Genomic DNA, 13,010 nt, shown 5'->3' with positions numbered 1-13,010 from the left:
TCCTTTACAGACAAACAAATGCTAAGAGATTTTTCTCGCCACCAGACCTGCCTTACAAGAGCTCCTGAAGGATGCAATAAACATGGAAAGAAACAACTGGTACCAGCCACTGCAAAAACATGCCAAAGTGTAAAGACCATCGATGCTATGAAGAAACTACATCAATTAATGGGCAAAATAACCAGCAAACATCATAATGACAGGATCAAATTCACATATAACAATATTAACTTTAAATGTAAATGGGCTAAATACCCCAATTAAAAGACACAGACTGGCAAATTGGATAAAGAGTCAAGACCCATCAATGTGCTGTATTCAGGAGACCCATCCCACGTGCAAAGATGCACATAGGCTCAAAATAAAGGGATGGAGGAAGATCTAACAAGCAAATGGAAAGCAAAAAAAAAGCAGGGGTTGCAATCCTAGTCTCTGATAAAACAGATTTTAAACCAACAAAGATCAAAAGAGACAAAGAAGGCCATTACATAATGATAAAGGGATCAATTCAACAAGAAGAGCTAACTATCCTAAATGTATATGCACCTAATACAGGAGCACCCAGATTCATAGGGCAAGCCCTTAGAGACCTACAAAGAGACTTAGACTCCCAGACAATAATAATGGGAGACTTTAATGCCCCACTGTCAATATTAGACAGAGCAACAAGACAGAAGGTTAACAAAGATATCCAGGACTTGAACTCAGTTCTGCAACAAGCAGACCTAATAGACACCTACAGAATTCTCAACCCCAAATCAACAGAATATACATTCTTCTCAGCACCACATTGCACTTATTCTAAAATTGGCCACATAATTGGAAGTAAAGCACTCCTTAGCAAATGTAAAAGAACAGAAATCACAACAAACTGTCTCTCAGACCACAGTGCAATCAAATTAGAACTCAGAATTAAGAAACTCACTCAAAACTTCACAACTACATGGAAACTGAACAACTTGCTCCTGACAGACTACTGGGTAAATAATGAAATGAATGCAGAAATAAAGATGTTCCTTGAAACCAATGAGAACAAAGACACAACGCACCAGAATCTCTGGAACACATTTAAAACAGAGTGTAGAGGGAAATTTATAGCACTAAATGCCCATAGAGAAAGCAGGAAAGAGTCTAAAATCAACACCCTAACATCACAATTAAAAGAACTAGAAAAGCGAGAGCAAACAAATTCAAAAGCTAGCAGAAGGCAAGAACTAACTAAGATCAGAGCAGAACTGAAAGACAGAGACACAAAAAACCCTTCAAAAAAATCAATGAATCTAGGAGCCGGTTTTTTGAAAAGATCAACAGAATTGATAGACTGCTAACAAGACTAATAAAGAAGAAAAGAGAGAAGAATAAAATAGACGCAATAAAAAATGATAAAGGAGATATCACCACCGATCCCACAGAAATACAAACTACCATCAGAGAATACTATAAACACCTCTAAACAAATAAACTAGAAAATCTAGAAGAAATGGATAAATTCCTCGACACATACACTCTCCCAAGACTAAACCAGGAAGAAGTTGAATCTCTGAATAGACCAATAACAGGCTCTGAAATTGAGGCAATAATTAATTCCCTATCAACCAAAAAAAGTCCAGGACCAGATGGATTCACAGTCAAATTCTACCAGAGGTACAAAGAGAAGCTGGTACCAATCCTTCTGAAACTATTCCAATAAATTGAAAAAGAGGGAATCCTCCCTAACTCATTTTATGAGGCCATCATCCTGATACCAAAGCCTAGCAGAGACTCAACAAAAAAAGAGAATTTTAGACCAATACCCTGATGAACATCGATGTGAAAATCTTCAATAAAATACAGGCAAACCTAATCCATCAAGACATCAAAAAGCTTATCCATCACGATCAAGTCGGCTTCATCCCTGGGATGCAAGGCTGGTTCAACATATGCAAATCAATAAATGTAATCCATCACATAAACAGAACCAATGACAAAAACCACATGATTATCCCAATAGATGCAGAAAAGGCCTTTGACAAAATTCAACAGTGCTTCATGCTAAAAACTCTCAATAAATTAGGTATTGAAGGAATGTATCCCAAAATAATAAGAGCTATTTATGACAAACCCACAGCCAATATCACACTGAATGGGCAAAAACTGGAAGCATTCCCTTTGAAAACTGGCACAAGACAGGGATGCCCTCTCTCACCACTCCTATTCAATATAGTGTTGGAAGTTCTGGCCAGGGCAATGAGGCAAGTGAAAGAAATAAAGGGTATTCAATTAGGAAAAGAGGAAGTCAAATTGTCCCTGTTTGCAGATGACATGATTATATATTTAGAAAACCCCATCGTCTCAGTCCAAAGTCTCCTTAAACTGATAAGCAACTTCAGCCAAGTCTCAGGATACAAAATCAATGTGCAAAAATCACAAGCATTCCTATACACCATTAACAGACAAACAGAGAGCCAAATCATGAGCAAACTCCCATTCACAATTGCTTCAAAGAGAATAAAATACCTAGGAATCCAACTAACAAGGGATGTGAAGGACCTCTTCAAGGAGAACTACAAACTACTCCTCAAGGAAATAAAAGAGGACACAAACAAATGGAAGAATATTCCATGCTCATGGATAGGAAGAATCAATATAGTGAAAATGGCCACACTGCCCAAAGTAATTTATAGATTCAATGCGATTCCCATCAAGCTACCAATGACTTTCTTCAAAGAATTGGAAAAAAAACTGCTTTAAAGTTCATATGGAACCAAAAAAGAGCCCGCGTTGCCAAGACAATCCTAAGCAAAAAGAACAAAGCTGGAGGCATCACACTACCTGACTTCAAACTATACTACAAGGCTACAGTAACCAAAACAGCATGGTCCTGGTACCAAAACAGATATACAGACCAATGGAATAGAACAGAGGCCTCAGAAATAACACCACACATCTACAACCATCTGATCTTTGACAAACCTGACAAAAACAAGAAAAGGGGAAAGGATTCCCTATTTAATAAATGGTACTGGGAAAACTGGCTAGCCATATGTAGAAAGCTGAAACTGGATCCCTTCCTTACACCTTATACAAAAATTAATTCAGGATGGATTAAAGACTTAAATGTTAGACCTAAAACCATAAAAACCCTAGAAGAAAACCTAGGCAATACCATTCAGGACATAGGCATGGGCAAGGACTTCCTGACTAAAACACCAAAAGCAATGGCAACAAAAGCCAAAGTTCACAAATGTGATCTAATTAAACTAAAGAGCTTCTGCATGGCAAAATAAATTACCATCAGAGTGAACAGACAGCCTACAGAATGGGAGAAAATTTTTGCAATCTACCCATCTGACAAAGGGCTAATATCTAGAATCTACAAAGAACTCAAACAAATCTACAAGAAACAAACAACCCCATCAAAAAGTGGGCAAAACGTATAAACAGACAATTCTCAAAAGAAGATATCTATGCAGCCAAAAGACACATGAAAAAATGCTCGTCATCACTGGTCATCAGAGAAATGCAAATCAAAACCACAATGAGGTACCATCTCACGCCAGTTAGAATGGCAATCATTAGAAAGTCAGGAAACAACAGATGCTGGAGAGGATGTGGAGGAATAGGAATGCTTTTACACTGTTGATGGGAGTGTAAATTAGTTCAACCATTGTGGAAGACTGTGGTGATTCCTCAAGGATCTAGAACTAGAATTACCATTTGACCCAGCAATCCCATTACTGGGTATATACCCAAAGGATTATAAATCATGCTACTGTAAAGACACATGCACACATATGTTTATTGTGGCACTATTCACAATAGCAAAGACTTGGAACCAAACCAAATGTCCATAAATGATAGACTAGATTAAGAAAATGTGGCACACATACACCATGGAATATTATGCAGCCATAAAAAATGATGAGTTCATGTCCTTTGCAGGGACATGAATGAAGCCAGAAACTATCATTCTCAGCAAACTATCACAAGGACAGAAAACCAAATACCGCATGTTCTCACTCATAGGTGGGAATCGAACAATGAGATCACTTGGGCACAGGGTGGAGAACATCACACACCTGGGCCTATTGGGGGGTGGGGAGCTGGAGGAGGGATAGCATTAGAAGAAATACCTAATATAAATGATGAGTTGATGGATGCAGCAAACCAACATGGCACATGTATCCCTATATATCAAACCTGCGTGTTGTGCACATGTACCCTAGAAGTTAAAGTGTAATAAAAATAAATAAATAAATAAATACTGAGAGGAACTTCTAAAAAAAAAAAAACCATCAGATCTCATGAGAACTTACTCACTATCATGAGAATAGCATGGGGGAAATCACTCCTGTGATTCAATTGCCTCCCTCTGGGTCCCTCCCTCCACACATGGGGATTACGGGAACTACAGTTCAAGATGAAATTTGGATCGGGACACAGTCAAACCATATCAAAAATGGTTTTACTTTGGTGATTCATCACCATGGCCCCTACTGGAGATAACACTGTACCTGGCATATAGCTGAGTCTCAGCAAATATAAATTAATGGTGAATAATGAACAAAACATTCATAGTCAATAAAAGAGATCCCTTTATGCCTTTACTTCTGCTGTGTGGCACCTGGCACAAGCTGCAGAAGGCAAAGCTGGGAAGACGGCGCCCACTGCCTTTGATATGCTCCACCAACCCCAGCCTGGGCCCCCATTCTCTCAGCACCTTGATTCCTGTCAACCAAGCAAATATGCTGGGTCCAGTCAATTGTGAGCAGATGTCCTGTCTCTATCTTGTAGTCATCACTCTTCATTTCAGAAGAGCACATTCATCATTCCATAAATGTCTTGGCAGTATCCAGCCTTTGCCAGACCACGTGCTAATCTAGTGATTAGGACAGGCTTTTCATTCTCTAGGCTTTGGCTTTTTGAGACATACGATGAGATCATTAGGCTCAATCCTGGTGGTCCATCTGGCTCTTATTTAAAATAATCCTGATACAGTGTAAGGCCTTCCTGCTAGTGCTCATGAGTATTTGTGTTTTAAAAGCTGTCCATAAAGTCCAAGAGGCTGGGGAAACAGGCAAGTCTGTGCCCCGCATCCCACCAGCTGGGTGCCTGTGGCAGTCCTACTGAAGGCACAGGTGGAGGTGGCACATTTCCTCTGGGCTTCCTATCCCCGGCAGCAGGGCGGCACTGTTCTAGCTCAACATGGCCAGAAGACACTGGGGAACATTGGCTCACCTCTTGTGCTAGCTCTCTTTCAACTGCAGATATAGAAAGTGAACCAGAGCAACTAACAGGGATTGTGTTGCTTACACACTGGAAAGGATGCTGAGGTGGCTTCAAAGGAAGGTCTGACAGGGCTGTGGTTTCCACAACTGGAACAGGGATTCACTGCAGCCAGGCCTTTCTTTCCTCCTCTCCCCTTCCTCTCACTCTGTCCTCATCTCTCTTTTCTGATTTTCTCTGGTTAACTTTATTCTGTAGAAAAGCTTACGCATGAGATGGGCAAGGTCGCTGGCAGCAGCCCCAGCACCCATTATTCCAGATTAGCAACTCTCCCTAATTGTTTTCCAATATCTATATCCATTTATTTAAAAAACATTTACCAAATTCCTCTGTTCTGGGTGCTTGGGCTATATCAATAGAATAAAGAACAAGGCAAAAAACAAAACCAAACTAAACTTTCTTGGAATGAAACACTGGACCAGCTACTTGGTAAGAATGCTAGGATTGGCCGGGCCTCGGTCATATGCTCATTCCTGAGGTGGGGATTGGAGGATTGCTGAGATTGACAGCCCTAACAAGTACGTGGAAATTTAAAAAAAGAAAAAAAAGAAGAAAAATGGATAAACCCAGAGAAGCACCTTCCTTTCATATCCCCTTCTCTCTCTTGTGGACTCTTCTCCAGCCCTTGCTGCATAATTTCCTGCATTATTGGACTCTCACATTCTCCAAGGGCCATGGCTCCTGTCCCATTTCCCTGCCTGCCTTTTCTTCTCCCCTGACCCTGAATAACTTCAGCACCCACCTGGGTGATGTATGTAACACTTGTCTTCAAAACTCCTCTACTCCTAGTCACCTGTAAGCAGCAATGTAACTTCATCCTTGAACTTGGCTGTGACTCAGAATGGCTCTGCTTCACAGACACAAACTTGAAAATCCTGCCCTCTGGCTTCACTCTCCCATCATTTGCATCTATCATTCCTATGAGACTTGTTCTTGAAATTCATCAAAAATTTTGTTGTAGGCCCTTATTTTCAAGAATACCCCTGGGTTTGTTTTTCAGCCCTACCCAGGCTAAACCCAAGGTATGGCTGCAACTCTGCTAAGAGTAGCACTGCATGGCCGGGTCACCCCAGCAGTGCTCTGTATACCCAAGCATTGCTGCTCCCATGGCTTCTTCGTAATTATGAAAAGAGACTGGGAAACCCCCTGACCTCTTCTCTGGAGTTGGCTGTTTCACCATTTTCTCTTCTCTCTCTCTCACTCGCTGTTGTGGCATCCCATCTCTTCCAGCCTCGGGTCTTGCTAGCTTTCTTCCCTCACATTGTTTTCAGAACATGTTTCCCCCAATGACTTCCTTCTGTTCCTCATATGCTCAGCTTCTTCCTTGCTCAGCACTTGGGAAGCTGCACCCCTCTCCACTTCTCCAGGCCCGGTATCCTTCCATTCTCCTGCTTGCCCTGGAAGGAGACTGTAGGTGGCATGCCCATCAGATGGGCTTGAGTACAAGAGTAATATCCAATCATTTTCATACTCTCAGTGCAAGCATAGTTTCTGGCACTTAATAGGCACTTTCCAAAATAACACTGTTGAAAGTTCAGTCTTGCTGGGCTGGATTAGGTTAAATTACACTACATGATGTTTGTGCCAGAGTTGGAATGCTGGAGGGCACTCATCAAGGATCAAGTTAGATGGGAAGTGAAGATATAACCTGGGTGCAGCTTTTGACAACAGCATAGATTAAAAAATGCAACAACTTGAGCGAGAGCTCACCTAAAATGATCTATATTTTGCAAGTCCTATCGCTTTAGAATCAAAACAATTCAAAGGAATCCAGAAACTGCTGAGATTAGCTACAGATAAATTTGCCTACTCTGAAAGAAGTTAACAATTGTAACTGGCAAGAGGTAACATAATAGTAATAAGGAAAAATAACTTTTCAGCAGTCTATACTCACTCAAAATATTTCACAAATGCTTGCACAAAAAAAGAAATAAATTGAAGTCACTATGAAAAGAACTCTCAACTAATGAGCCTGACATCAATTAATTCATTCCATCATGTTCTTTCACCCACCACCCCCTGCCCTTTCCCTACTTTTTTTTTTTTTTTTTTTTTGATGTAGTCTTGCTCTGTCACTTAGGCTGGAGTACAGTAGTGCGATCTCAACTCACTGCAACCTCCACCTCCCAGGTTCAAGCAATTCTTCTGCCTCAGCCTCCCTAGGAGCTGGGACTACAAGTGTGCGCCACCACGTCTGGCTAATTATTGTATTTATAGTAGAGACAGGGTTTCACCATATTGGCCAGGCTGGTCTCGAACTCCTGACCTCATGATCTGCCTGCTTCAGCCTCCTAAAGTGCTGGGATTACAGGTGTGAGCCACCATGCCCGGCCTTATCTACATATTTTTTAGTTTATCCTTAACCCCTGAAATAGCTGAAAGTCAGGGAATTCACAGACTAAATGCACTGCTTTAACTTAAGATGCTCTCATTAAGCAACTACCCTGTACAAGCAGGGCAGGGGCTGTGGAGGATGCAAAGGTGAGCACATCACTGCTGCCAGGAAAGGGCTTCCAGGTTGCTGTGTGGAGCGGTCCCATCTGCAGAAATGAGGGAAAGATTGTAGTGTGCCCTGAGCAATCTTAGAAATAGATCCTCATTTCCATATCTCAAATTTGAAAAATTTTCATTTGAGACTCACTGAAGGGAGGGAGTTAAATTTGTACTTCCCAGCAATCTATCTCTTGCAAAGAACCTGGAATGAACCTGGGAAGTTGGCAAGATTCATATTCTCCCTATCAGAGTATGTTCTAACAAGTCCCTGAGAGGAAATGGTATTTTCCAGCAGATGAGCAGCAAATGAAATGTGGTTGACAGAAGGTCAGGAAAATCTTCAGCATGGGGTGTCTCTCAGAAGGGCTGGAGCTGGGCATGGTATTGGGGTAGTGAGGGCATGGACACTGCTGGAAAAGATGGGAGAAGAGCCCACAGGGCCACTGAGCCTCCACCAAGGGAAATGGTACCGCTCCCAAAGGCTGTTCCTGCTGCATCTGCCAAAAAGTGTGGAGCAATGGAATGTTAGCAGCTCTGGAAGAAACTGTAGAGACCATCTTGTCTAATTCCCTGCTTTGCAAACCAGAGAAGTGGCTTGTTGCAGGGTACCCAGAAAGTTGACACTGATATGTGGCTAAAATCCAGGTTTACCGCTTTCCAGCCAGTGCTCCATCCACAAAGTCAGCAAAGAACTGCTCAGATACACTTCTCCTCAGCTTTGCAGCTGCTCCACAACAAATCTGCTGGGCCTTGGTAGCTTTGATCCCTACAAATGGACCAAACTATCCAAGCCAGAAACTGACACAGACACTCCCAAATATTGTTTTGATTAATGACTATTAAAAACAAACATAGAGTTCTTTCTTGGTAAAGAGAAAGGGTAAGGTGATGAAGATTACAGTGTAACCCATTAAGTGAGATTAGTAAAAGTAGTATCAGAACCATGGGAAAAAATAATATTAATAATAATAAATCATCTAACCAACCCCTTTGAAAATGAGAAACCACTAAGCTATAGGTTGGCTCTTTCACTGTGTGGGTTAGACTGTCAGCTACACCAAGTCCTTTGTGAAATTAACACATCCCCTACCGGTTGAGGATTTCCTCTTGTCCAGTCAGCTCCAGTGTCCCCTTGACCCTGCATATCAAGAAGCACAACTCAAATACTCACATAGCTTTCCCAAATTGCACAGAGAAAATAATCTCAAACTCCTAGAGAATAGAAAGCAATAATTCATGAAATTTCCTATGACTTATTTTATTGTTCTTTTATAAGCTTTTAGCAGAAATCCATGCAAGTAAATAGTAAAATATTAAGTAAAAGCTCAGTGCAAGTGGAAATGCAACAGGAAGTCCAGAGAAGAGTGAAATAAAATTTTGCTGAAATAAAGCCCATTTGAGCCTATGCCACTGGTACAGATGAGCCACTAGATTGTCTCTGAGGTTCCTAGTGGCCAAAGCAGAAACAGAAAGATAGAGAGACAGTGTGTGTGTGAGAGAGAGAGACAGTATTAGCTCTTACAATGAATGAGGTACTCTATATCTGTTTAAAATTTTTCATCAACTCTAATAGGGAAAACTATCATGTCCCTTATCTTAAATGAGGAAGCAGGTTTAAAGAGTTCAGCTATTTATCTAAACTCAAAAACCTAAGGGGATTGAAAGCTTTGATTCCAGCCTAGGTCAGCCTAACCCCAAAGCCCATAATTGTGACACACACAGGGGTGGAGACAGAGCTGCCTCCTGATCCTGTTATGTCATATTGAGAGCAAATAGAATAACTTCTTTATTGTGGTGTTCAAAGGCTTGTCTAAACAATGTGGACCCTGTGCCACAGCTGTGCTGTGTCCCAAAATTTTGTCCTGGCATGCAGTCCTGTGTAGACAAGTCTCACAGGTGGCATTACCAGAAACAAGGTAATGTGAATGAGTACAAGATTTGTAGATCCACAGCCTTGAGTTAGAATCTTGGCCTCATCCCTTGGGTAGGGTATGAGCTCCAGTTCCCTCATCTATAAAGCAATTACATTTTAAGAAAGAAAACACTTTTTCTCTACCCTCTTACATTCTTTGACTAGGACCTGGAAATTAAACTGACAAAAGCCAGGAGAACAAATTTTAGTTGATGTTAATATTTTAATTTTTATGTGCACAAAGGCCTTCAGAGGAAAGAAGACCCTAAAGAAGTAATGATATTTGGTGGATTCATATACAATTTCAACAAAGAGTGATAGATTATGGAAAAGTAATAAGACAAAGGAAAAAGGGCTCGGATTTCTAGGCGTGGTAAATTGTGAAAAGGTAAATATATAAGAAAAACTAACAGAAAACAAGGGTGACTGCAGTTAGGTTTGTTTACACAAACCCATCTCCATGCTAACCTTCTCTCTCCAATGACAGATAATGGTTGTTTTTCCCCCTCCTGGTATGGAGTAGGAAGAGGGGAAGACCTTCACAAAGGAAAATTTATGTACTGCGTTTAGGAAGATACAGGCAGAATGTGCTGCTTCTTAATTGCCTTGAGCTCAAAACAACCCCCATGCTAAAGTGGCATACTTCAAGGTGGCAAGTTCCCACTTTCTCCAATGTCAGCCCTGCTGATTAGAGATTGGGATTAGAAGTGATTGTGTGTATGATATCTAACAAAGGGCAAGTACTCACTTAATGCTGCTGATGCCGCTATAGCCTCACCAGCTCTGATATTCACTGTTGGAAATTTGTTTTTTTAAAAAATATTGACATAGTCACTAGGGGAAAATTACAGAATGTCTTCATAGAGTTTTCAGGTATTCTCTCACAAAATTCAATGTTAACCTCTTATTCAAATCATAACCCACAGCCTTGCTAAGTATTGCTTAGAAATGAAAGACAGCCTGTGCCTCCCTGGAGGTGTGCCTTCTCTTTTTTCTTCTAGCCTTGCCCTGAGTCAAGCATGCTTGAATCACCAATCTCTTCTCGCTGTCTTGTCATCTCAGCAGAGGCAGGCCTAGTCCTCAGCAAGACAACTTCTTTTTGCAAAAGTTCCACTACTCAGGAAAACCTGGCTTCAAAAGAAAGCCATATGCCAGTCCCCCAGAGGACATTTATAGACACAAACCTTCAAGAAATACGTGAGAGAGAAAGGAGCCCTGCCTGGCACTTCCAAATCAAGTGCTCATGCTCTTAAAGAGCAGTTGAAAGAAAAGAGGCTGCTGTCATTCCCACACCATATCTTGGATTCAACGAAAAGGTTGTATCTGATGAGTCAACAAAGGTGAGTAATTGGCCAAGAGGAGAAGAGAGGAAGCCTCTCAAACCTCAACCCAGCCCAGCTGAGGAGTGAGCACACAATGCAGCTGTCAGGCCCCATTCAAAACACACTCCAACACCCTTGTCAGCCCAGTCCTCCAGGCCTCCCTCTGCTCTGCAGTGGGGGCCAGGACCACAACAGGGCCATATCCAGGGATGCACTGAACAACCACAGCTGCACCACCCTCTGGCACAAACAAATAATGAGAAATGATTTTGGCTCAAGACTCAATTTAATTCTCTCTCTGTTGTGATACAAATATATATATATGGAGATATATATATATATATATTTAAATGTATATCTCCATATGTATGTATATATGTTTATATGAGATATGTATATCTCTCCATATAAATTATATATATAAATTTTATATATATACATATATATATATATTTGTATCACAACATTAGCTCCACACCAAGCTCCAAAACACCCTTTAGTTCAAAAACATTTCCATGGAGAAAATTCCGTCAGGAGAAAAACAAGGCAGTACAAGGCTTCTTCCTGCCTTGATTCAGAGGTCATCTCTGTTAGAAATTGATACAGATCCAGTCTGTCACCCCAGCCACCATCTGTCCCTCACCACCACCTCCAATCATTCAGCTCAATGTTTGCATTCTAAGGCATTTGTTTGGAAAATCTCATGTTCTCTTAACAGATTTTAGTTGGGGGTAGCAGGATTGAAATTCCAGTACTTGTGGTATGAGGTTGGCACATCATTTCCCCACATTCAAATACAGTCAAGCAATTTATTGAAGGAAAATGGCAGATAAGAGGCAGGACAAACTAGCAGGTCCCACTCAGATGGACAGAGCAGCATGTGGAGACCCACATCACGAATTTTCGCTCCAACACCTACCACAGGAACATGCCAGGAAAGCTGAGAGAATCCATAGACCCTTTGAAGTAGGTGGATTGCTGCTTCAGGCTCTGTGGGACAGCTGAGGAACTGTTGAGTCGGCTTGCTTTCTCAGCTGGGAGTCCGGTAGCCTGGGGCAAGTTCTCAGCCTTGCTCACTGGCTGCCTGGAAATAAACTCAGTGCTGTTGAGGGGCCACAGTGGGAGAAAGACCAGCTTTTCAGGCTGTGGGCTATGTGGGAGTTGGGTGAGGCCCCTGTCTGCTGATTTTCCCTCACTTCCCTCATGACCTGTGTGACACAGCAGAGGCAGTCATAACCTTCCTGGTGACATAACTCCATTGGCCTGGAAACCACATCCCCATCCCCACAGCAGCCATAGCAAGCCCTGCCCAAGAGGAGTCTGAGCTTAGACATGCCTAACACTGCCCCCACCTCGTGGTCTCTCTCTAGACCTGGTAGCTGAAGACAAAGGACGTAATCCTTTGGGAGCTCTATGGCCCTGCCCACTGCCTGAGAAATCTGAATACCTAACCAGCCAACCCTAGGGCAAGTTTGCATCCTCCCTATAGTATCGCAGCTGATACACTCTTGAAAGTGCCACCTCCTGGCTGAAGGCCAATGAACACAAAACCAGCACATCAAACAAAAATACAACAAAAGACACTCACAGAGTCCACTTTACTCCCCTGCTACCTACACCAGCGCAGGTGCTGGTATCCACAGCTGAAGGACCTGAAGACAGATCACATCACAGGACTCTTTGCACACACTCCGCAGTACCATCTTGGAGTCAGCTAGCTCCACTGAGTGGCTAGATCCAGAAAAAAAAAAAAAATCAATGCAGTTCAGCTCTCAGGAAGCCCGATCCCTAGGGGAAAGGGGAGAGCACCACATCAAGGGAGCACACTGTGGGACAAAAGAATCTGAACAGCAACCTTGAGTCCCAGATTTTCCCTCTGACATAGTCTACTTAGATGAGAAGGAACCAGAAAAACAATTCTGGTAATATAACAAAACAAGATTATTTAATACTCCCAAAAGATCACACTAGCTCACCAACAATGGATCTAAACCAAGACGAAATATCTGAATTGCCAA

General features: G+C 41.8%; 1 long non-coding RNA gene across 1 annotated transcript in view; it reads right to left on the bottom strand.

Annotated features, from left to right (window-relative positions):
- The window catches only part of LOC105375277 (uncharacterized), a 35,365-nt gene extending 23,099 nt beyond the window's left edge, over positions 1 to 12,266 (bottom strand). Inside the window, exon 1 of the long non-coding RNA XR_927260.4 lies at positions 11,912 to 12,266. This is a non-coding gene — a long non-coding RNA (uncharacterized LOC105375277). The remainder of the gene's footprint in view (positions 1 to 11,911) is intronic.
- Positions 12,267 to 13,010: the final 744 nt, after the last annotated feature.

Source organism: Homo sapiens, chromosome 7, assembly GCF_000001405.40.
Source record: "Homo sapiens chromosome 7, GRCh38.p14 Primary Assembly".
In the NCBI taxonomy this organism is placed as follows: Eukaryota; Metazoa; Chordata; class Mammalia; order Primates; family Hominidae; genus Homo; species Homo sapiens.
This window is presented reverse-complemented; position numbering and strand designations above follow the sequence as displayed.